Consider the following 24,144-nt stretch of genomic DNA (forward strand, 5'->3'; position numbering starts at 1 on the left):
TATGACACCATGACATACAGACAGCTTATAAGTGAAAATAAAAAAAAAATGACACTAAAAGCACAAGTAACAGATAAAAAATAAACTAGACTTCATTAAAATTAAAAACTCTTGTGCAAAGGTCGCCACTAAGTGAGTGAGAAGGCAATTCACAGAACTGGAGAAAATATTAGAATATAGAAAGAATTCTTACAACTCAATAAAAAAACAACCTATTTAAAAAACAGCCAAAAAATGTGAATAGACATTTCTCCAAAGAAAATATACAAATGGCCAATAGCCACATAAAAAGATGGTCAACATTATTAGTCATTAAAGAAATGAGATTCAAAATCACAATGAACTACCACTTCACACTAAGATGATTATGATAATACCTGAAAACCAGAAAACAGCAAGTGTTGAGGATGTGGAGAAATTGGAGAAATACATTGCTGGTGGGAACAGAAAATGGTGTAGCTGCTGTGGAAAAGTTTAGTGGTTCGTCGAGAAGTTAAGCACAGAACTATCATATAACCCAGCAATTTCACTCCTAGGTATATTCCCAAAAGATTTTAAAACAGGGACTTGAACAGATAATTGTAAACAAATCTTCATAGCAGCACTACGCACAACAGCCAGAAGGTGGAAACCATACAAATGTCCAACACCTTGTACAACACAAATGTCCAACGTGCTATTATTCAGACATAAAAAGGAATGAAGTATCAATACATATGACGTGGAGGAACCTTGAAAACATCATGCTAAGTGAAAGAAACCAGATACAAAAAGTCACATAATGATTCCATTGATAGGAAATATCCAGAATAGGCAAATCCATAGAGACAGAAAGCAGTGGTTTCCAGAGGCTGGGTGAAATGGGGAATGGGAAATGACTGCTTATTGGTGCCAAGTTTCCTTTAGAGTTGATGAAAATGTTCTGGAACTACATAATGGTGACTGCACAATATTGTGAATGTACTAAATGTCAGAATTGTATACTTTATCATGGTTAGAATGGTAAATTTTGTGTGTACTTTACCACAATAAAAAATTTAAAAATTAAAGAAAAGTTTTGAAATTAGAGAACAAATGAAGAGGATCTGTTGTTGTTATAGCTGGCAAAACTATTAAGTTCTAACATGCCAGTGCAGCACATTCTTATATTTTACATCCAATAGAAACGGTTTTACAAAAGAAAGGTCAGAGTCTTTTTCACTATGCTAGAGATGACTTCTAAGGATTGTTAAACATAAAGGTACATTATGTGTCCATTCAAAAGAAGAAATACCCTTTTTTATAATAGCAAGGGGAAAAAGGAAAATAATTGAGCAAAGTGTTTGATTTCAACCAAGTGTTTGCAGGTGAACAAACTTCAGTATTCAAATGTAAAGCAGGTGTTTTTTTGTAGGACACTGAAAAATATTCATTAATGAAGCATTAGCAAGATATCATTTTACAAAGCATAATTATGCAAATTTTCATCAGTACTGCTCTTTTCTTTTTAATGAACAATTTGTTTTGGCAATTTTATGTAAATAAGAGAATAGAACACGCTCACAACACTCCTGCCATTCACAGCATTAAACAGAGTGGTCATGAAAACAAAGACCAGCTCATTTTAAAAGATTTATGAATATCCAGATTAAAAAACAAACTTCTCAAATCTTTAGATCCAGATGCCCAGATAAACTGGTTTTCTGAACTGTACACTCACATACACAGCAAAAATTTCAAGAGTATGGCTAGACATCATATTAAGACCATTCAAGCAGACTCAGGAACTGGGTTCAAAAACTTTGAGGAACATCTTACTCTGAGAGTATCTGGCCCAGAACTCAAAAAACTATTAACAGAAAAGGCAGAGCAAATGCCATAACTAAGAGTAATCTTTTCTTCTCCCCTGAACTCAAATCTAGACTCATTTCATATTGACTTTATGAAACAATTTGACACTGAGGATTTGAATGAAGCAATGTTTATACTTGTATCCGCATGTTTAAGAATAATTATCCACCTTGAGGATTCCTGGGAATTTTCCTCACCCTGTTAACCATGCCCTCCCCCATACTCTTATAGCATTACCACAAAACCATTACAAAATTTTTAAAAAGTTTAAAAATAACAAAATCAACAAATGTGAGTTCATTAGAAGTTGTTAGGAAGATTTTAAGTCCTGTGATTTTATAACTTTCTTACAATACTTGAATTTTAAAGATCTTCTCTAGAAACTTTTTTTAAATAAAAGTTTTATTGGAGAAAAATAGAACCACCACGTACACAGGGAAAAGAGCACAAAAATTCAACTGATACAGAACAACAACTGAAAGTCACAATTATCCAATGTAGTTTGCAATTACTTTTCAGTTTCTTAAACAGCTCCCCTCAACTTTTTTTTTTTAACAGTCTTGCTAATTTTTCAGCTGAAACAGCATCAAGTTTTCAAAGAATTAAGAGCCTCGGGGAGGGGACCCGCTTTCAAGATACTGAAGGTGACATCAAGAGTCTCCTCCTAACAGGACCAACTCTATCTAAAAGTTGCTTACGAGTAACTTGAATCTTGTGTAATAGTCTACATCTCACAGACCATCAGGGATGAGTTAGAACACTGTTGTTGATGGTCCGGTATGAAGAGAGGGTAAACAAAATAGCTGCATTTGCTTGTCAGCTGAGCTCATATAAAGAAATCAGTGAGGAGCTGAGAAAATATAGGCAATGGCTGCTCAATAAGAATTACAAGTTCCGAATACCACATATAGTTAGACACCAGTGTGCAAGTTGATGCAACTAGAAAGAAATAGACGACTTTTTAAAATACCTGGCCACAGGTCTTTGAGAACTCAAGCAAACAATCAACAGTAGACACAAGAGTCAAAAATCTTCTCAGGTTGAAGATTAGGACATAGGTAATCTTCCTAACGGCTCCAACAGGCAAGGAAATATGCTGTGGCAAAAAGCATTAAGTAGTTCTGATTTTTAACAAACATAAACAAAATTTTCTGCTTCTCCTCCCTTCAAAGCTTCAAGGAAATAGAAACAAGGAAACAAAATAAAAACAAAAAAAAATCAGTGACAGTAAAGAGAAGCCTTTGCTTGAATTATCAATTCGAAAAACAGTACTTTTGCCATTTTGTATATATAAACAATCTTGGGACATTCTCCTGAAAACTAGGTGTCCAGTGGCTAAGAGAACTCGATTTCAAGCAATTCTGAAAGGAAAACCAGCATGACACAGAATCTCAAATTCCCAAACAGGGGCTCTGTGGGAAAAATGAGGGAGGACCTTTGTATCTAGGGTTTTAGCAAGTTAAAATGAAGATGACAGGAAAGGCTTATTTATCAACAAAGAGAAGAGTTGGGATGCTTCTAAAAAAAACTTTGGTAGAGAAAATAGGAATGCTAAATCCTAGGAAGCCTGTAACAATCTACAATTGGTCCAAGTTGAAGACAAAACTGTCCAAACAACATTTAAAGTCTAAAGTATGTTGAAAACTAGTTGCAAAGTTTTTGCTCCTGTAACAATTTACAAAACACGTTCATTTTGGTCTCTTTTGCAATTTTCTTATTGTATTCATTTTTAATATAAAGAGTTGGATTTTTCTCTTCTATGATGTTCCTCTAGTACAACTGATCATTAATTTTCTACTTTAGCTATTTTTATAAGTACTTGTTAATCAGCACAGTTAACTTGGGGCTAAGCCATATACACACATCCCATACTCATAAATGAAAATTTTTAGGATGTGAATATACAAGATATTATGTAAGCAACTGTCCCCCTACTTGAAAACTTGTTTCCAAATAATTTTTTTTAAAAAACATCCCTTTCAGTGTAACAGAACATCACCTAGTAAAATATCAATAGCTATGACAATTCATTTCTCTTTTCAAGGGAAATCACAAAACGGGTGAACAACCAAGTCAAGGGTGGTTTTTCTATTTGATAAATACATCCAGAACTCTGTACAGTAAATAAAGTTTGCATGCAGTTTAAGTATCTTTAAATGACATTTTAAGCAAATAAACCTTTTGCTTCATAATTAATGGTGTGTAAGAACCCTCCCCCCTTTTTAATAGCCACAGGGATCTCTTTCCCAGTTCCAAAGAGGAATTCATGAAGACCAGGTACGTTCTTAAGTGTTTTCTGCACATCATACTAAATAACATGCAAAGAGTTCAACAACATTCTTCTTAAAGGTAAGTATTACTCTTTAAAATGGGCATGTTAACCACTGAGAAAAAGTCCACTCAACTATTTCCATTAATTACACTGCTTCATTTGGTCATCGGTAGTAAAAAAGGAGTCAAATAATATTGAATCAACAGGTTAGTTTATCCACTGGCTACTGCATATGACACCAAATGCTGCAAGGCCAACATTCTATGCAATATAGTTGTACTGGTTTGGATTTTCTTTATCTCTTTCCATGTAGTCCCGGTCAATTAAAGATTCTATTCTCTTCTTAAGATCAGCAGGCTGTAAGAGAAGGCAAATTTTCAATGTAAAGTTCATTATCATTGGCTCAAGCCCATTTAGTTAATACCCCATTAAAAAGACAACAGTTTCGGCTCATGAATTTAATCTCCTTTTTTAAAATTTTTATTTATTTAAATCTCTTTTTTAGAGAAAAGTATCATGAAAATAAACCAGGTTAAAAAATGTTTTATACACGTTGAAGATTCTTTTTTTTTTTTTTTGAGACGGAGTCTCGCTCTGTCACCCAGGCTGGACTGCAGTGGCACCACTTTGGCTCACTGCAACCTCCACCTCCTGGGTTCAAGTGATTCTTCTGCCTCAGCTTCCCGAGTAGCTGGGACTAGACACAAGCCACCACGCCTGGCTAATTTTTGTATTTTTGGTAGAGATGGGGTGTCACCATATTGGCCAGGCTGGTCTTGAACTCCTGACCTCAGGTGATCCACCTGCCTCAGCCTCCCAAAGTGCTGGGATTACAGGGATGAGCCACCGTGCCCAGGTATGTTGAAGATTCTTTAACGCCAAAAGTGTTTTTGATTTTTGATTTTTTTTTGGAGCTTTTAATTTTTTTAATAGACAGGGTCTTGCTATGTCGCCCAGGCTGACCTTAAACTCTTGTTCTGGAGTAATCCCCCCAGCCTCAGCCTCCCAAAGTACTGGAATCCCAGTACTCACAGGTGTGAGCTACCATGCCTGGTCCTGACTTTTTCATTTTGGTATATTTGCATATACATAGTGAGATACCATGGAGATGGGACCCAAGTCTAAACACAAAATTCATCTATGTTTCATACATACCTTACATAGCCTGAAGATAATTTTATACCTTTTGTGCATGAAACAAAGTTTTGACTGCAACCTGTCAAATGAGGTAAAGTGTGGAATTTTCCACCTGTGGCATCATGTTGGCATTCAAAGTTTCCAATTTTAGAGCATTTCAGATTTTGGATTCTCATTAAAGGTGTTCAACCTGTACTATATACTATACATACATTAAACTGTCACATCCTTGTCATATTGTTACGGAATACTTTCTATTACTTTTCTATTTTAAAGAGGTCATGCCAGAAGCAGCTACCCTTCGCGTGGTTAAATACAAAAGACTACATTTATTGTAACTTCACATGAGCACTGTAAGGTAGTTTAAGGACACAGAATACTAGTTTTGTCAAGATAGTTCATGAAGCACACCTTTACTTTGGGCAAGAGTTAGTTGGCTTCATTTTTATAAATTAAGATTTAAAACGTACTGATGAAATCACTATTTAGACCGGGTGTGGTGGCTCATGCCTGTAATCCCAGCACTTTGGGAGGCTAAGATGGGTGGATCACCTGAGGTCAGAAGTTTGAGACCAGACTGGCTAACATGGCAAAACCCCATCTGTACTAAAAATACAAGAATTAGCCAGGTGTGGTGGTGGGCGCCTGTAGTCTCAGCTACCAGGGAGACTGAGGCAGGAGAATTGCTTGAACCCGGGAGGTGGAGGTTGTAGTGAAACGTGATCGCGCCACTGCACTCCAACCTGGGTGACAGAGCAAGAAGACTCCATCTCAAAAAAAAAAAAAATCACTATTTAAAAGAATACTGGACAGGTGCAGTGGCTCATGCCTGTAATCCCAGCACTTTGGGAGGCTGTGGGCAGATCATGAGGTCAGGAGTTCGAGACCAGCCTGACCAATATGGTAAAACCCCGTCTCTACTAAAAACACAAAAATTAGCCAGGCGTGATTGTGCGCACCTGTGGTCCCAGCTACTCGAGAGGCTGAGGCAAAAGAATTGCTTGAACCCGGGAGGCAGACGCTGCAGTGAGCCAAGATCATGCCACTGCACTCCAGCCTGGATGACAGAGCGAGACTCCATCTCAAAAAAAAACTACATGAAATGGCTTGATAAATGAAGTACCTCATAATTTAGATCTTCATATTTCTGGTTTAGTGCATCTAAGTGACTTGGATTTCTGCATCCTGTGATTTAAAAGTAATCAAGAAAGCTTGTAGCTTTATCTTCATGATTGCATTCTAAGCTCCTGGATGACAAAATTCCACTATATATCTTATGTATCTAGTCTGTAAATATAATATAATCTTGTTTGCTAATAGAAAGTTTTTCAGGATAAGTAAAATGACCACTTGTTCAAGAGGGGAAAAGAGGGGAAGTAGTCTGATACAGCAGTGAAAATTTTATCCAGTAATCCCAAGGTTGGGAAATCAGATGACTTCTCTTAATTATGGTGAAAGACCTAGAATATCAGCACAATATTAACTACAGCGATCCCCTAATTTCCCCAGCATCAGTGATCTCTCTGGCTTGAGGTGAAATGACTATTAAGCAGAGCATGAGGGTGAGAGGGTGGTAATGAGGAGTGCGATATTAGGTTTGGAGAAAAGAAAATGCTTACCTTATTAGAACTAAGAGCTACCGAGTGCTTATTATGTACCAGGTCCAGTGCTAAGATTTTTACATTCATGATCTCACTTAAACCTCACAATAATCCTACAAGGTAAGTACTATTATTATCTCAGTTTTACAAAAGAGGAAACAAGATCAGCATGGTGAAGTGATTTATGAAAGTCCAAAGCTCATAAGAACCCTAATAGCTAGCAGTCTATTCAAACTCTATCAATGTTTATCATCCAAGGGTTTGGCTATCTACCTCCTAAAACTTGGAAAAAAGGCCAGTACAACATCACATTAAGTGACTTTATTATTGGTCATTCACAATGGAACGTTTCCATTTAATGACCAATTTCAGTTTACCAGAACTATCACTACACTTTTCAAAAAGATGCTTAATCATGACTAGTTATCTGTATGGTTTTTAACAGATGATCTCTTATATAAGCTAACTAAACAGGAGATTTAACTCAATCCACAATAACTAAATCTGTCAAATACCATGGTATTTCAATAAATACCATGGTATTTCAAGAGGAAAAGAAGTAAATAACCAACCAAGAAGTTCAAAAGAAATATAGTGAATAAACTTGAAAATTTCAAACACTCATTTAGCAGTTAAACTTTCAGGTATCCAGGCTTTTCTGTTATTTTTCCCTTTTGTCACTGCTGCCCACATATGCCAACAAAGTTTTTTTTTTTGGAAATCATATGCATCAACATGGGAAATTAAAACTTTTCTCTCTCTAAATGGTCATGACGCTTTATGTTTGCAAGATTTGTGTCTGAAAATCTAATGTACTTTCTTTTATTTATAACACGCTCAATAGGAAAACACAGAAGTACCTACCTTTACTGGAAATTTCAACTGGTTGTACACTTCTGAAACAAGGAGATTGTGGCTAAGTGTCTTTCTCATCTTCATAATTCGAACAATTGCAGCATCAATTTGATACTGTCTGTCTTGAAATACTCTTTCTGTAGTGCTTGCTTGTTCTTCAACCTAACAAAAAAGTTTTAAACCTAGGAATTATACCAGAAGCAAAACCTGACTATTTACATAAATTGTGCATTTTAGGGACATGACATTGTTATTGCTTTAAAGGTACTGAATTATCTAAATGGGGTCTTATAAATATAGATGCTGACAGAGAAAAATCCTACAAACATAACTCCTTTCTGTTCTGATTATATTGCCCTATACCAATGAAGTAATGCTAATATTAGTTAATAGAAAAACATCATCTTTGAATTGCTTTTCTAGAAGTAGAGATAGCTGATGTGGAATTTACCATTTTGTTTTTTTACTCTGTCTTTGATATATCTTCTAAATGTGTGTATCAGTTTCAATGGATTGTTAACCAGATTTCTCTATGACAATAGCTTGTCTATAAGGTGACTCTGTCTGATCTCTGACTCAAGGCATGGTATTAACTGGCTAAGCAAACTAGTTAAGAGTCAACCTCTTTGAAAATTAATTTTTATTTTGTAATATATAAATCAGACATGCATGCCATTAGTGCTTACAATCCTTCAAGACTTACAGAAATGTAGGTATTTAGGAGGCGGTTTACCAATCTTGATGCTAAAGTAAAAATGTTCATCTTTAGTAATTAAACCAAAAAAACAGTTTGGCCTTTTTGCAGCAGTTTCTTCCTGGTACAGCATAAATGTTTTAAAAGTAAGGACATGGTAATCCTTTAAGAAAATATCCTGTCTTTGATGTGTATGTGAAAATGACAGGAACTTGTTTGGAGATACTGGTCGCTGTCCTACATTAAAATTTTTTCAGTCGGGCTCAGTGGCTCACACCTATAATTCCAGCACTTTGGGAGGCCGAGATGGGCGGATCATGAGGTCAGGAGTTCAAGACCTGCCTGGTCAATATGGTGAAAACCCATCTCTACTTAAAATACAAAAATTAGCCGGGCATGGTCGCTCACGCATGTAGTCCCAGCTACTCAGGAGGCTGAGGCAGGATAATCGCTTGAACCTGGAAGGCGGAGGCTGCAGTGAGCCAAGATCGTGCCACTGACTCCAGCCTGGGTGACAGAGTGAGACTCCACCTCAAAAAAAAAATTTTTTTTTTTTCAAATATTGCATTAAACCTTATTGGAACTGAAACCATCAGTTTCAGGATGCTGCAGTTGGAAGTCTCTTACAAATTCAAATGGCAAAAACAAACAAAATATTCACCTTCCCTGTTTTTGTTTTTTTTTTCTTTTTTTTAAACAGAGTCTCACTGTCACCCAGGCTGCAGTGCAGTGGCGCGATCTCAGCTCACTGCAACCTCCACATCCCGGGTTCAGGTGATTCTCATGCCTCAGCCTCCCAAGTAGCTGGGACTACAAGCACGCACCACCACGCCCAGCTGATTTTTGTATTTTTAGTAGAGACAGGGTATCGCCATGTTGGCCAAGCTGGTTTTGAACTCCTGACCTCAGGTGATCTGCCCGCCTCGGCCTCCCAAGGTACTGGGATTACAGGTGTGAACCACCGTACCTGGCCCACCTTCACTGTTAATCAAATAAATAGTGAATAAATCAATTCAGATTTTTCACCAAGCAAGTTGGCAAAAGAAAATATAATCTTTAGTGCTGGGGGACATAGTAAGACAGGCTCTCATATGCTGCTGGACAGAGTATAAACTGGTCCAGCCTTTCCGGAACACAATATGACATTATGTACTAAGACTCCTAAAATGTTCATACCCTTTAACCCAAAAAAATCTACTTCCACAAATTTATCATATATCAGAGATTAAAATTTAGTTTCAAAGAGGTTTCTTGCAATCTTATTTATAATACTAATAAGTCATGAATTTAATTGCCCCAAAATGAACAGTGGTTGAACAAACTATAAGAGCCATGTAAAAATATTACACTGCCATCTGCCATTTTTCGAAGCTATTTAATGGCATGGAAAAATTCTAAAGATTGAATACTAAATAAACAAAGTAAGATATGAAACTATGTTGAGTATCATCTCAATCCTGTACAACCACTCTCCCAAACACCCAAAATCAAATCAGGAAACATATTTAGCTGGACATAGACACAAAAAATATTAATGGTATTGGCAGTATTACAGGTATAAAAATCTTTATATATTTTGATTATTAACATGTATAATTCCAGTGTGTTAGGACTAAGAGAAAGTGAAAGAAATACCGTTTCTTTCATCTGGATTTGATTGATCTTTATCCTGAAAAGTTTATGTTTGAAATCATCATTACAAATGAACTTGTCACCATCTTCAATGTCTTTGCCCTTTGGATTTTTCGCCAGAACTCTAGCTTTGCCACAGGCTAATGACTGCAGTGTTCTCCTTAACTCTCCATCCTCTGAAGAAGAAACAGAGGTTTAGTTATTTGTTACCAGCATGAACAACTACGACATTCTACCTCAATCTAGCTTCCACTCCATCCCCCTATTAAAACTATTTCATTTTTTCCCAAAGGTCACCAACAACTTTTCTTTGTTCTAGCCAATGGCTTTTTTCCTAGTCCTCTTCTTTTTTAAAAAAAATAGAGGCGGGGTTTCACCATGTTGCCCAGGCTGGTCTCAAACTCCTGAGCTCAAGTGATCCACCCGCCTTGGCCTCCCAAAGTGCTGGGATTACAGATGTGAGCCACCACGCCCGGCCCCTAGTCCTCTTTTAAAGACGTCAATTATCATACCATGTGGGCAACTACCAAATATTCCAAAATGACATTTCACTTCTCTCCAGTTGCACGTTTAAAGGGCAATTCCGCCTGGCTGTTTTACTATCAACTGTAGTTACGTCCAAAATTTGATTCATCATCTCCATATAACTGTGTCCTCTTTCCAATTGTCAGTGGTGATACCACTAACCTTCTCAGTTGGGAAACCCTAAAATCATCTTTTAACTTTTCCTTCTCCTTCATCCTCAACATAATAGCTAGCCGCTGCTTCCGCAGAGATGAGTTTTCTCCATTTTCATGGTCTCATTCTAGTCTAAGTCCCTTCTACTTTATGCCTGAATCATCCCAATAGCATCTAAACTGGAATCCCTTGATCCTTCCAGTTGCCCTGTAGATTGATTTCAGTAAGTGGTCCAAATAATTACTTCCACCATGCCACATAGTTGAGACACTACAGTGTAGGTTTCATTTGCTAGACTTATCAGGTTCTCCACAATCAGGCCCTACTCATCTTACCTAATTTTTTAACTCACTATTCTATGTTACAATTAAGCTCTTCATGATTCTTCATGATTCTATGCTACAATTAAGCTCTTCATGGGCCTATACTGTGCCCATTCCTACCTCCCAACCTCATCTCAAAATATTTCCCCTTGCTGTATATGCCTTCTCCCTGACCAAAACTTGAAGGCCCAGCTCAAATGCCACTTGCTTCATGACAGCTTTCCCAATTGTGCCAGTCCACGGTGATCTCTTGCTTTGTTGCACTCTTACCACACTTATAGTCAGTACCACAAGCCAGTACTTATGGGTTTTGACATTATTTCAAGTGTCATTTCCCCCTTTCCCTATGGTTATATAAAGAGTTCTGGCCAGGCGCGGTGGCTCACACCTGTAATCCCAGCACTTTGGTAGGCCGAGGCAGGCGGATCACGAGGTCAGGAGTTCGAGACCAGCCTGGCCAACATGGTGAAACCCCGTCTCTACTAAAAATACAAACATTAGCCAGGTGTGGTGGCAGGCGCCTGTAATCCCAGCTACTCGGGAGGCAGAGGCAGGAGAATTGCTTGAACACAGGAGGCAGAGGTTGCAGTGAGCCGAGATCGCGCCACTGCACTCCAGCCTGGGTGACAGAGCAAGATTCCGTCTTGAGGGGAAAAAAAAAGAGTTCTGGCTGGCTGCAGGGGCTCATGCCTGTAATTGCAGTACTTAGGGAGGCTGAGGCAGGAAGACCCCTTGAGCCCAGGAGTTTGAGACCAGGCTAAGCAACATAGTGAGACCCTGTCTCTACAAAAAAAAATTTTAAAAATTAGCCAGGCACGGTGGCATGCACTTGTAGTCCCATCTGCTTGGCAGGCTGAGGCAGGAGAATCACTTGAGCCTGAGCCATGATTGTACCACTGGACCCCAGCCTGGGTGACAGAGTGAGACCCTGTCTCATTAAAAAAAAAGAAAAAAAAAACTCAAAACAGTTCTGAGGCAAGGAATTATTCCTATAAATATGTCCCCCAGACCTCTTAACATAGTGGTGTGCACATAGTGAACAATTAATGTTTGCTACAAACCTATTCCAGTTGCCTGCTTGATCTCTTCTAAACTGAACTCCTCTCCCTCATTAAACATTAGCAGCACCAGTGTTTGAAAAAGAGAGACCTGGAGTTCCTTTTTACCCTGTTGAAGAAATAAAAGTGTTTAGTCATCACTTTTTTAAAAACACATGAAAAATTAATCATCTCTTATAGGAAAAGCATTTTTCAATTAGTGGATTTAGAAACATGATTAGCATTATCCAGCAAAGCCACTTGACGTGGTAATACAGTATTTCAGTGTGAGGTTTAGGTGTGACCCTACCTAAAATAGGGGGAAGGATTAGCTGACCTTTTAACAGTTTTTTTTTAAGCCTTATAAATAGAATACAGTAATGAAAATTAATCAGCCTTATGTGTCATTCTAGATATTCATCACAAGCAGCAAGAAATCACTATTTCAAATGTATTTTTGATTTGTTTGGCTCAGATTAGTCATGAAAAGCTAAAGTTTTTTGAGATTAGATATTGCACACTGTTTCCCTTAACTCCCACTCTATTCGTAGCTCCCAGCAACAAGATTTCTGTCAAGAAGTGGCAGTGTTAGACTAAGTGTAGTTGCTCATGCCTGTAATCCCAGCACTTTAGGAAGCGGAGGCAGGGGGATAGCTTGAGCCCATGAGTTTGAGGTTACAGTGAACTATGATTGTGCCACTGTACTCCTGCCTGGGTGACAGAGTGGGACCCTATCTCTAAAAATAAACAAATAAATAAAAATAGGAAGTGGCAGTGTACAGTTTTCATCCACAGGTGAGGAAAGGGTAGGGGGAAAGTTCACTGCTTTTCATTTTGCAGAAGGGCCAAATCAATCGTGGAAAGACCACACACCTAAAATTACTTAAAAATACATAAAGCTATGACAAACTATCACTGTCATCATGCGGATATCTAGGATACAATTATAAAACAACAGCTTAAACTGGCCAGATGCGGTGGTTCACACCTGTAATCCCAGCACTTTAGGAGGCCGAGGCGCGTGGATCACAAGGTCAAGAGACAGAGACCATCCTGGCCAACATGGTGAAACCCCGTCTCCACTAAAAATACAAAAAAAATTAGCTGGGTATGGTGGCGCACGCCTGTAGTCCCAGCCACTCGGGAGGCTGAGGCAGGAGAATCACCTGAACCCAGGAGGCAGAGGTTGCGGTGAGCCAAGATAGCGCCACTGCACTCCACTCTGGTGACAGAGTGAGACTCTGTCTCAAAAAAAAAAAAAAAAAAAAAAAAGAAGAAAACAAAAAACAATAGCCTAAACTTTCAGTTAAGAAGGATGACCTAAACATTAAAGATAAAGATGAAAACTAAAAGTTTTGGGAACATCCACTTACCTCTTTAAATTCTGCTTTTAACACACAGTGTCCTAGGGTTGACTGCCACTGAAGTTTCCTGCCACTATGTTTGCCTAGGTAAAATGTCTTGAAAATCTCCTGAAGTTTTACCATCTAAAGTAAATAAAATAAGGCTTTATTTAAGCTCTGTATCCAATACCACATTTACCATTTTTATACTTACCTCATGTGATATAGTTTCTGGAAAATTTTAAGACTATATCCAGTAGGTCCACCAATCACTTTGATGAAAAACAATGATCTCCCAACCACCAAATCAAATGGGATTTATTAGGATTTATACCTTTTGCTCTCTCTGAACATTTAATCATCCCCTCTTTTGAAACATTCACCTGCAGCAGCTTTTGTGCCTCTGCACTATGCTGCTTCCTTTATTTCACTGTTGCTTCTGCATTGGTTTCCTTCACAGGTTCCTCTTTCTACCATCTGCCAAATGTGAGCCTTTTCTAAAGTTCTGCCTCTGCTGTTTTTTCTTCCTCTTTGAGAGAAATCTACTCCCTGGGCCTTCATAATCATCTCCATGGAGGATTCTCAATATCTATCTGTCTAGCCTTAATCCCTTTTATGGGCTTCAGTCCTGGACTAGACAGTTTACCAGGAGTCAGGATAGATTTAATCAAGGACCCATCATTTAGCAATCCCACCTATGGGTGAAATATGTGCAAGAATTCTTAATAGCTAGGTAGAGTGAGGGGTATAACCTGGGAAGATGGAAGAAGAGCCAGGGAAATTGACCCTGAACCCAGAAATTTGGCATTATTAGCTATGTGCTTAACTGGACTTCTAAGTACAAAAGTAAAACATTAAAGCAGTTGGTATTTGGTGTTGGTGCGCTTACTGACATACACTTTTAAAAGTATCCATGCCAAGCCTGGTGACTTACACCTGTAATCCCAGCACTTCGGAAGGCTGAGGCGGGGGGGATCACTTGAGCCCAAGAGTTCAAGACCAGCCTGAGCAATACAGCGAGACCCTGGGTCTCTATTTTTTTCTAAGTATCTATTTTTAAATGACAAGCAAAATGGAAATGCTATGATTTCTATGCCTATAACTCAGTTCTAAACAGTAACTCTTACCTCTGGTGGTAAATGAACTTCCATAGGCACATATGTCGGCCAATAGCCCATTGTCAGGATATTCACAGTTAACTCAATATTTCCCGGAACATTCTGATTCTGCATATACTATAAGAAGATCAAAACACACACTGAGATCTTAAAACTGCATACATTTCATATCATAATAACCTATTTAAGAAGTTCCCTGTTATGAAATTACATGCAAACACTGACCATCCTTAAAATAAAAGGCAACTATTAAGAAGACTTTAAATGAAACCTACACAAAATGCACTAGGCAAGTACAGAGGTTAACATTTTGATACAAAGGCATACAAGGATCACATGACCTCATTACAGGCGTTATCAACTTAAATAATTTCTCACATACAGCTGGGCCGTTATAGGATCTCTTCTCCATTCTTTTCCCCAATACCACCTGCAGTCCCCACCTTTGAATACCCCTATGTGGCTTAAACACCTTGCAGCAACCCCCATTCCTCACCCCCCAGCCAGCCCAAGTCTCCAGTTTTTCACTTGCTCCACTGCCTGTCTGCAGGGAGTGACCTGGAGTAGGGAAGGAAAAAGAGGGGAAAAGGGCAAAGCAGATAAGCCCTATTCTGTAGCTACTATAGAATCCATAATCTTACTGACCCTGATTTTTTCTTAATTCTTTCACTTCCACTTCCCACCTTAGCAACACTGTGGGGTAAAGAAGTCACTACTAAAACCCAAAAGAGGAAAATCTAATTTGCCATCATTATCACCTATGATCTTAAACATTTCAAAACTACTTTCTACCTACATCTTCAAAACTGTGGATCTAGCTTTCTATCCCCAATGTCCCCAAAGGCTTTTATACAGCTGCATTATCACTTCTCCTCTCTCCCCATTGCAAGCTCTGAACATGCAAATTACCAAACGATAAGATGCTGAGGAAAGCCCTTTTCCCACTATAGCTCTTCTTGTACTGACTTCAGTTCAATACATTTTATTTTTATTTTTGTGTTATTCTGGGTGTTTGTCAAAAATAAATCCTAAAGTAGGTCAAATATACTTATATTTCACCAATTTTTTTTTCTACTGTGAATATCACCTCAGTTGCCATGAATTACAACAAACACGTTTCTATTTATCCTCTTTAGTACAAATCATAGCAAGCAGATAACTAAATACAACTAAGTTTGAGGAATTAAGAGTTTAACTCACTTTTACCTGTTTGAACTGAATCATGATGTCTTTAGAAAGTTCCATGTCTTTAAACATTCCTTCAAGTTTGCTGGTGAAAGCAGCTCCGCATTCTATTAAAGATGTTTGTACATGTATAATATTTTAAAGTGGTAAAAACAAAAGAGGTTTAAAAGTGGGAAACACGAAATACAAAACTTTAGTATGAAGTATGATCTGTAACTTTCATAAGAATAAAAAGAAATCCTTACCCCAAAGTGTATGCCCCATTAATTCAGAGTCAAACTCTTTAATCCTGTAGTAACCTTATCTACTATTTAGGTATAAAATAAATGGGAAATTTTTATACAAATAATAAAACCAAGAACAATGCTTTATCTTAAAAAAAACAACTCTGGATATTATGTACAATAAGTTGGAAACCTCAGGAGCTTGCTCAATTTATGTTTTCATCATATATACATAGACATGAGTGACAAAAGAGGAAATCGATTGAAAGGGTAAAAAGCTAACATTCTCCTTCAGGAATCAAAGAAAAGGAACAGAAAGAATGAGAAACCTACCATGTTTAAGTTTGGACAGCATTGATTTTTCAGCATCTACAGATGCACTCTTTCCGACTAACAGGCGCTTGGCTAAATCTTTCTTATAGAAGGCCTCAAAAACATCCTTGCCTATGTAAAAAGAAATGCAAAATTTATAATATTCCAATAAAAAGTACTGACAAAACTGCTTTAAAGTGCTTTAATAAAGCACACCATTATTCCAAGTTATTTTACTTTACACATTTTATTTAAGTTTGTTAAATGCAAGAAACAGTAGAGATCCATTTTTGTGCCAGACATTTCGAAGTCTTTATTGTAAAACTTTTTTGCATGTAACTGTCTTGATTGCATTAACTTTTCTTCAGAAAAGCTTTTGTGGACTGGTAGCTTTGGTGCCAATATTTAAGAGATTAAGCCAAGTAGCAAAAATCAAGGCACTTAATACTAGAAGAGCCAAAGCATAGGACAATCAGGTAACATTCCTCACGTATCCCCCCAATGAATTAAACACAATTTTAAATCTGTAATTTCCAAATAAATATTCCCTCCAGTTTGAATATACTTGCTAGCTTCTCTGTTGAGTGCTATTTTAAAAGAAAAATATTAAAACATTAGTAAATACTTACCATAGATAAATCTAAATATGATCATAATTTTATCCAACATTTTCTCAAGTTCTTCATCTGTAGCTTCTTTGTTGCCTGCACGAAGTTTTGAATCTACATACTTAGCTAAAATGGGGGAAAAGTTTGTTGTTTAATAACCGGGGAATACACGAGGTACTGGGCACTATATATACCCAAAGAGGAGTATGATACACTGAGTTTTTCAATACTTCAGAAATTTATATGCATTTTTAAAAGTCTCCAAAGTCAGGAAGATCAACTGACTTGTTCAGTGCCATAGAGCTAATAACATCAGGGCCTGAACACAAACCCAAGTGTTCTGACTCCAGATCAAATGTACTTCCCACTATACTGATGTTTATGAAAATAGGATACGGATATCCTGTGGGGGAGGTCTCATGTAGCCCTGTGAGGGCATCATGTAATCCAAGCCACGAAAAGACATGAGGAATCTTCTGGAGTATCCATTTTATAGGAATAGTAAGCAATCTTAAACATTACTTTTCTATTAAAATAAACCAGATACATCGTAGAGTAGAAGGTAAAATTTGCTACATGTTTACGGATACATAGTAGATAGGTTGCAACAAAATTTCATCCTTTTGGCAGAGGACCCTAGACCTTCTCAGGTTACCTCCTCCTCTGACACTAAGGGTACTTGGGTGGAAAAACCTGAGAAGCACTGTAGTGTATATCACATCCTTATGCTAAATGGGCCCAGATTATTAGGTTTATTTTTGCCCTGGACTTTTTTCTTTTTCACTGACAACTGTAATTTCATGCTGCCCTTTTTTGTAGCTTGAAATAACACCCTGCCTCATTTTTAAATCATTAGGCTAGGAAAACAGATTAGCTTATTATCAATAAAGGTAAATAGTGTCCAACGTACTGTCTTTGAAAGAAAGCACATTATGTTTGACATGTGGGCTTTCAGTACTTACATCCAGGTTTTTAGAAACACTCTTCAAACTTGATATACCAGCTAAGCAACCTCAAACAAATCAGGAATTAGTAATACTACAACCTGGTAAAAATTTCAGATTGAGATTTTATGACTCAAAGAACATCATTAAACAACTGGAAAAAGGACTGGAAAACATACCTATAAGTTCAGCTGGTTTATTTGGTCTTTTGTTAATGAACGTTTCAAATGCTTCTTTCATGGCATTGATAAATTTCTCATTCTTCAGAAAGCAGATATCAATTATATGGTCAACCTTATCTTTAAAATCCAGCAATTCTTGAACCATGGTTTTATCTTTTTCAGGATTAATTACAATAGTGCTGCCAAATGCCTAAAACAAAAAATTACCACTTTTTACTGTAATCGAATTGTCTACAATGAAAACAATCCCCAAATCATATTTTAAGTGGCATATATATTTAAAGATCTTTAAAAAGTAAGATAAAGCTATTTTTAAGATGGAATCTTGCTATGTTGCCCAGGCTAGTCTGAAACTCCTAGGCTGAAAGGATCCTCCTGCCTCAGCCTCCCAAGTAGCTGGAGTTACAGGCATGTACCACTGCACCTGGCAAAATAAAGCTGATAGTGAAATGAGGACAAAAAAATAAAGTGCTAAATATCCACACTGTTAACCACTCATCTATAATCACAAAAATAGTAAGCAATGATCACTGGGCATATGATATCATAACAGGGTATTATTAGAAGCCTCTGGGATCTTTTCCTTATTTTTAAAGAAGTCAGCTTTCAACTTCCTTAAAATGGCAATCTGGCTTTAGTGTAAGATTGAAGAAAGGAAAGAAATTTGGGGTTCAAAGTCTTTTTCTACATTTACTGCTTTAAGTGGTAGAGACAGAAATTATGTCAGCCATCAATCAGGTTTTATAGCTGATATGCCACACAGCTACCATTCTCAGGTTGACTGTTCTCAAAATTCCCATTACTTTTTAAACAAATTTAAAATTCCCTTAAAAGAACTGGATCAAGTCCGGGTGTGGTGGCTCACGCCTGTAATCCCAGCACTTTGGGAGGCCAAGGCGGGTGGATCATTTGAGTTCAGGAGTTCAAGGCCAGCCTGACCAACATGGTGAAACCCCGTCTCTACTAAAAATACAAAATTAGCCAGGCATGGTGGTGCATGCCTGTAATCCTAGCTACTTGGGAGGCTGAGGCAGGAGAATCACTTGAACCTGGGAGGCAGAGGTTGCAGCGAGCTAAGATCGTGCCACCGCACTCCAGCCTGGGTGACGAGAGCAAAACTCTGTCTCAAAAAAAAAAAAATTGGATCAAACAAGAAATGCTTGCCAATATGCACTCTTGATGTGTAGATAAGCCATAAGAGAGAAAAATCACAGGTAAATTGTTAATACCTTGATATATTCGATCCACTGCTGCAAAAGAACCTGAACTCCACCTCGAACTCTACTGAAGAGCTGATACAGAAGAGACAAATCTTGAATTCGGTTTTCATCAAGGAGGTTATTTAAACCTGTATTTTAAAACATTTTGGCATTAAAATATAGTGAACAAAAAAGTGAACAAGATTATCAGACATTTTAATAAAATTTGAGTTATAATCATTATTGTGATACTGGTTTGAACTATGACTAGTCTGTATGTGAGTTGTAATGTAAGATTTCCTTTGAATTAAACCCAACCATCTTTCTGGGTAAAAACTAAATATAGAGACTTTAGTCGCTATAAAAATAAAAACAGGCCAGGCACGGTGGCTCACACCTGTAATCCCAGCACTTTGGGAGGCTGAGGCAGGAGGATCAATTGAAGCCAGGAGGTCAAGACCAGCCTGGGCACAACAGTAAGACCCCCTCCCCCTCTCTATTTTAATTCAAAAAGTTAAAAAAATTAAAAAGAAAAAGAAAAATGGTTAACTCCATAATGGTTTGTGCCATTTAGCATGATAGATTAGAGGCAAAAACAAACTTATAAAAACTGGCTTACATAAATATACATTATAAATACCTCATATATGTAGTAGCCATATTATGTACATAGTTATATTTCAGAATACTGGATATAGCCTGTGATATATCAAAAGCCATGCATAAATAGGTCAAATTTAAATGAGGCTCTAATAAATATTTGATTTCCAGGATGAAATAACAGTATAACTGCATTAAATTTCTAAATATATAAATTTTTATACAAAAGAAAATATTATTGGGGAGAAAGGTAAGGCTTTTACCTATTTGCGGCATTCTCAAAGTAAAATGTAGGGTATACTCTAAATTCACTTGGGATTAGAAGTGCTTGGTTTGACATGCCATGAACAACAAAAAACCCTCACCGCTTTAGTGTAAAAAGGAATACCTTTCCTTACTGAAAGCTTACATATTAAGTCAAGAATTTCCCACTTTTTTTCTTTTATTTTATTTAAAGAGACGAGAGTCTCACTATGTTGCCCAGGCTGACCTCAAACTCCTGGGCTGAAGCAATCCTCCTGCCTCAGCCTCTCAAGTAGCTGATACTACAGGCACATATCAACCACTGTTTTTTTATTGGTATTTGTGGATCCCTCTCTTCTAGTTCCTGTATCTTTCAGATAAGAAAACTGGCACCTCCAGGAAGTTTACTGTGATTAATAAGGATTGTGTCCATCCTCAGAAATGCAGCCACATGCTATCAAACTTTTAAAAGGGCAACATCTTTAAAAATTCCCTACTAGTTTGCCACTACCATTTAAAAAGCAATCTCTTATTTACAAATTGCCAATTACCTTTCTGAAGAATTGCTGTTAAGTGTTCACCTAGAAGTTGTTTTTCTACAGTAGCAATTAATGACTTCCTACAAGGAAAAAAAAAAAGGTTAGTATTATTGACGTTTGACTTCCAGAAAATGTAAAGCCTCTCCTGAGGGGGGAAAAAAATCAAATAGCTCATTTTATGTTGATTTCAAGATTCCTATCCTATGTATAAATTTATTGGTGCTCAGAGTTACTATACTTTATGCCTAAAAGAAAAAGACATAAAGGAACTGACAGGCAAAAATTTTAAAAAAACACTGCATATTTTAGAATTTGGTTTACATAACGAAATAAATATCTCCAAGACCTTGCTGTAGTCGGCTTTTTCCAAGTTTTGCTACTTTTATTAGGAAGGTAAAGAAGTACTACATACAGAGGCCCCTCGACTGGCAATATTAATACTTAGGAAAGCACAGAAATAGGGGAATCCACTGAATTTTAATTGGCCTGAAGAGTTTAAAGGTCACATCAGCCTCTAGTATTATTTCTAAATTACCTTCTAAACACACACACACACACACACACACACACACACACACACCCCTAATAATCGAATCCTTGGATGAAAACTAATTAACTAGGGAAAAGAATAACTTGAAGTTTGTATTATGAAAACAACTGTTAACACTTCAAATCACACCTGAAAACAGTTACTAACATGTTTAGGATGGCTAAAGTGCTGCAAGTGATTTAACGACAGTTTAAGACTATTAAATTCAGCATGTGGTACTTACTGGGTGGTCTGATCTAAGTAAGTAATAAGTCTGTCTGCTTCTTCTTCTAGACGTTTGTTAACATGATGTAGATATTCAGGAACCTACAAAGATAGTTTTTTACATTATTGTTTTCCTCCCCATAAATCATTCAGAAAATGTCAAGTCCAAAAGATCCTGGAAGTGGCCCTGTCAAATGTGACAGGGTAGAATCATATGTAAAAATTTATAGGTAGAGTTTATGATCCAGAATTCTGGCCTTTAAGAAGAGAGAAAAGAAAGGAGCACCTAAGTGAGAGAAGAGCATCACAATGTTGGGAAGATAAATGCAAAGGGAAGCTTATATTCTACAAAGTAAGGTCTATTGTGAGAGACAGTGAGAATTTATTAGTCATGATTTTTAAATACCTCTCTTTCTTGCATTAATTTTTGGCCTTCAGCTGCATAGAGCCGGTTAGTTTCTTCCAAAAATCGTTGTTCAAAAGAATCTTGATAAATCTGGAGGGGGAACAAAATGAAGGAGATCATTTATTTAGCAAATATTTACTAAATGTCCTCTATGTCTATGTAAACAGCATTATGAATTTGGTTTTTAAACATCAAGCTAGGATCCTTTTGTAGTTGAGAAGCATGATGATTGGGTTTTTATGCTCATATATGAGATGTGCTTCCTTCAAACCTTGTTATGACATCAGCACATTACCTGTCTGATGTGGGGGGAAAAAAAACTAGGATAGCAATCAGCTCTGTATAGTAGGTGTAGTAGTTAACTTACTTGCAAATCAGACAGCATGCTTAAAAGGCTTCGAAGTAAACTTCTATCAATTGCTTCACCATTCCTTTCCCTCTCAATCAAGAGAAGAATGCCATCAATTGTCTTATTCTGCACTTTCTGATCACTTATAATATGAGCCCTAAATAACTCCAGTCCCATGTCCCTAAAATAAAAAACACATATAACCTAAATTAATTGACAATACCACTTCTGAAGAGGTTTGCTTAACTTCTTACCACATGTTCCCATGCTAATTAGGGCTCCAGGGCTTTGAAGCAGCAATTGTCAAAAAATAAAATCCACACATTTAATTTTGAATAACATTATTAGATTAAAGAACACAGGAAACTCATTTTGCCTTTACTGAGAATTGAAGCTAAATTCCTATTTTCCTCCATAACTAAGTTTTGTTGTATTATTTCTTTTTGTGGATTTCTTCTTTGCTCAAATCAACAGACAAAATTAGTTCTAAGACATAAAACAGTTTTCACTGTACTGGTATTGAAAGCTTATTTGGTTATTTATCAACTGGTTTCAATACTGAAGAATCAGTGAATTCTGATCATTGCTGTAGGCAGATGATAGGTACATGGGAGGGGGAAGAGTTCATGATACTATTCTATTTTCGTGTATACATGGACTTTTGCATAATGTTAAATGAGTGAACTCTTGATGGTCAGCAGCAAAATGAATCACAATCATAGACATTCCAGAGCAAACTTTAGTCCCCTCGGCTAACAAAAAACTTCTTCATAAATTAATATATGCCCAGGGAATGTTAGCTATCTTCAATATTAGCATAGGCAACATATTATTAGGAAGATAAAACTGCTACAAAGGAAAGTCTAGAACCAAATGTGAATTTTTAGAATATTCACAGTATAGCTTATACACTTTCATTAGTGTAATTAAGATTTGAGTATGATTTGGAACAATCTTTTCATATTTTTCTGGCATCCTTACCAAATGGAGGGTAGCATTGAATTCTGAAGAACGTAAGTTCTATCCAGAAACAAAAAAATGCTCCTGATCATGATCTGCCAATGAAAAAAAAAGAAATCAAACAAGTTTTGTATGTTGTGAAGCTGAAATATTTGCTTTCAATAAGAATAAAACTGAAGAGTTTGTCTGTATATATATTACATTACTAAGATCAAACATGCAGATAAACACATCTATCTGAGAATATGCCCATATAGTTTTTATTACTCAACAGTCAATCCTTTTTGTGTTTTCTAGAAAAAAGACACTTAAAATGGCCCTCTGATTTACTGCTTGAGAAGTAACTGAAAAATCAAGGGGACGCTCATATAATTCTTCCTGCGCCACAGTGCTAGGGAATGAAGCTGCCTTACATTGCACATGTGAGGGTTTTTATTGGCAGGGGGTGGGGGTGGGGAGGGGTGATGGATTTTAAGATTTTAATCTGTAGAATATAAGGTATAAACCAGATTAAGAAAAATGGAAAAGGTTGTTATCTGAATAAACTAAAACACAGGACCATCAGGCACCTTCACAGGTAATCAAATAGTGGACAGGATAATCATCAAGAGAGAAAAAAAAATAAGAGTGACAGACGAAATGTAGCTTTTTAATGAATGAGATAAATACATTTTTGGTAAGTGTGACAAAAATAAAAATGAACCTAAGGTGCAAGACATTCTGAAATGCAGGTTTACCTGTAACTTGTGGTTTTAAAATAGAAAACTCAACCAAAACTAGTTTCCAATTCAGAAAAGGAACTTGGGAGGAAGAGTGGGAGGGGGGCGAGGGATAAAAGACTACAATGGTGCAATGTATACTGCTCTGGTGAAGGGTGCACCAAAATCTTACAAATCACCACTAAGGAACTTACTCATGTAACCAAATGTCACCTGTACCCCAATAACTTACGGGAAAATAAAAAATAAATAAATTTTTAAAAAAAGAAAAAAAAAGAAAAGGAATAGATATTGAAGCAATCTCCCTATTGCTAAGTTTTAAAAACTAACATTCCTGTATTTGAAGAAATGTTTTTAACTATTAATACAATGTTTAGCCGAAATACAATACTTTTTCCAG

General features: G+C 36.9%; 1 protein-coding gene and 1 non-coding gene across 5 annotated transcripts in view; one reads left to right on the forward strand and one right to left on the reverse strand.

Moving 5' to 3' along the window:
• CUL4B (cullin 4B) overlaps positions 1,461–24,144 on the reverse strand; it is a 51,675-nt gene continuing 28,991 nt past the window's right edge. For 3 of the 4 annotated variants that reach the window (NM_003588.4, NM_001330624.2, NM_001079872.2), the window contains 16 exons: positions 23,047–23,120; positions 22,084–22,246; positions 21,717–21,806; positions 21,330–21,412; positions 20,569–20,636; positions 19,205–19,323; positions 17,973–18,165; positions 16,871–16,975; positions 16,263–16,373; positions 15,727–15,812; positions 14,530–14,637; positions 13,433–13,546; positions 12,084–12,189; positions 10,025–10,197; positions 7,705–7,857; positions 1,461–4,459 (listed from right to left, as the gene is read on the reverse strand). In NM_003588.4, the coding sequence (NP_003579.3) occupies positions 4,364–4,459; positions 7,705–7,857; positions 10,025–10,197; positions 12,084–12,189; positions 13,433–13,546; positions 14,530–14,637; positions 15,727–15,812; positions 16,263–16,373; positions 16,871–16,975; positions 17,973–18,165; positions 19,205–19,323; positions 20,569–20,636; positions 21,330–21,412; positions 21,717–21,806; positions 22,084–22,246; positions 23,047–23,120 (1,842 nt within the window). In that variant the 3' untranslated portion in view covers positions 1,461–4,363. The remainder of the gene's footprint in view (positions 4,460–7,704; positions 7,858–10,024; positions 10,198–12,083; positions 12,190–13,432; positions 13,547–14,529; positions 14,638–15,726; positions 15,813–16,262; positions 16,374–16,870; positions 16,976–17,972; positions 18,166–19,204; positions 19,324–20,568; positions 20,637–21,329; positions 21,413–21,716; positions 21,807–22,083; positions 22,247–23,046; positions 23,121–24,144) is intronic. The other variant, NM_001369145.1, reaches the window with a different exon arrangement.
• Positions 21,918–22,021, forward strand: LOC124905273 (small nucleolar RNA U13). Its single transcript, XR_007068437.1, has one exon. It is a non-coding gene; the product is annotated as a small nucleolar RNA U13 (small nucleolar RNA).

Source organism: Homo sapiens, chromosome X (genome assembly GCF_000001405.40).
Source record: "Homo sapiens chromosome X, GRCh38.p14 Primary Assembly".
NCBI lineage: Eukaryota > Metazoa > Chordata > Mammalia > Primates > Hominidae > Homo > Homo sapiens.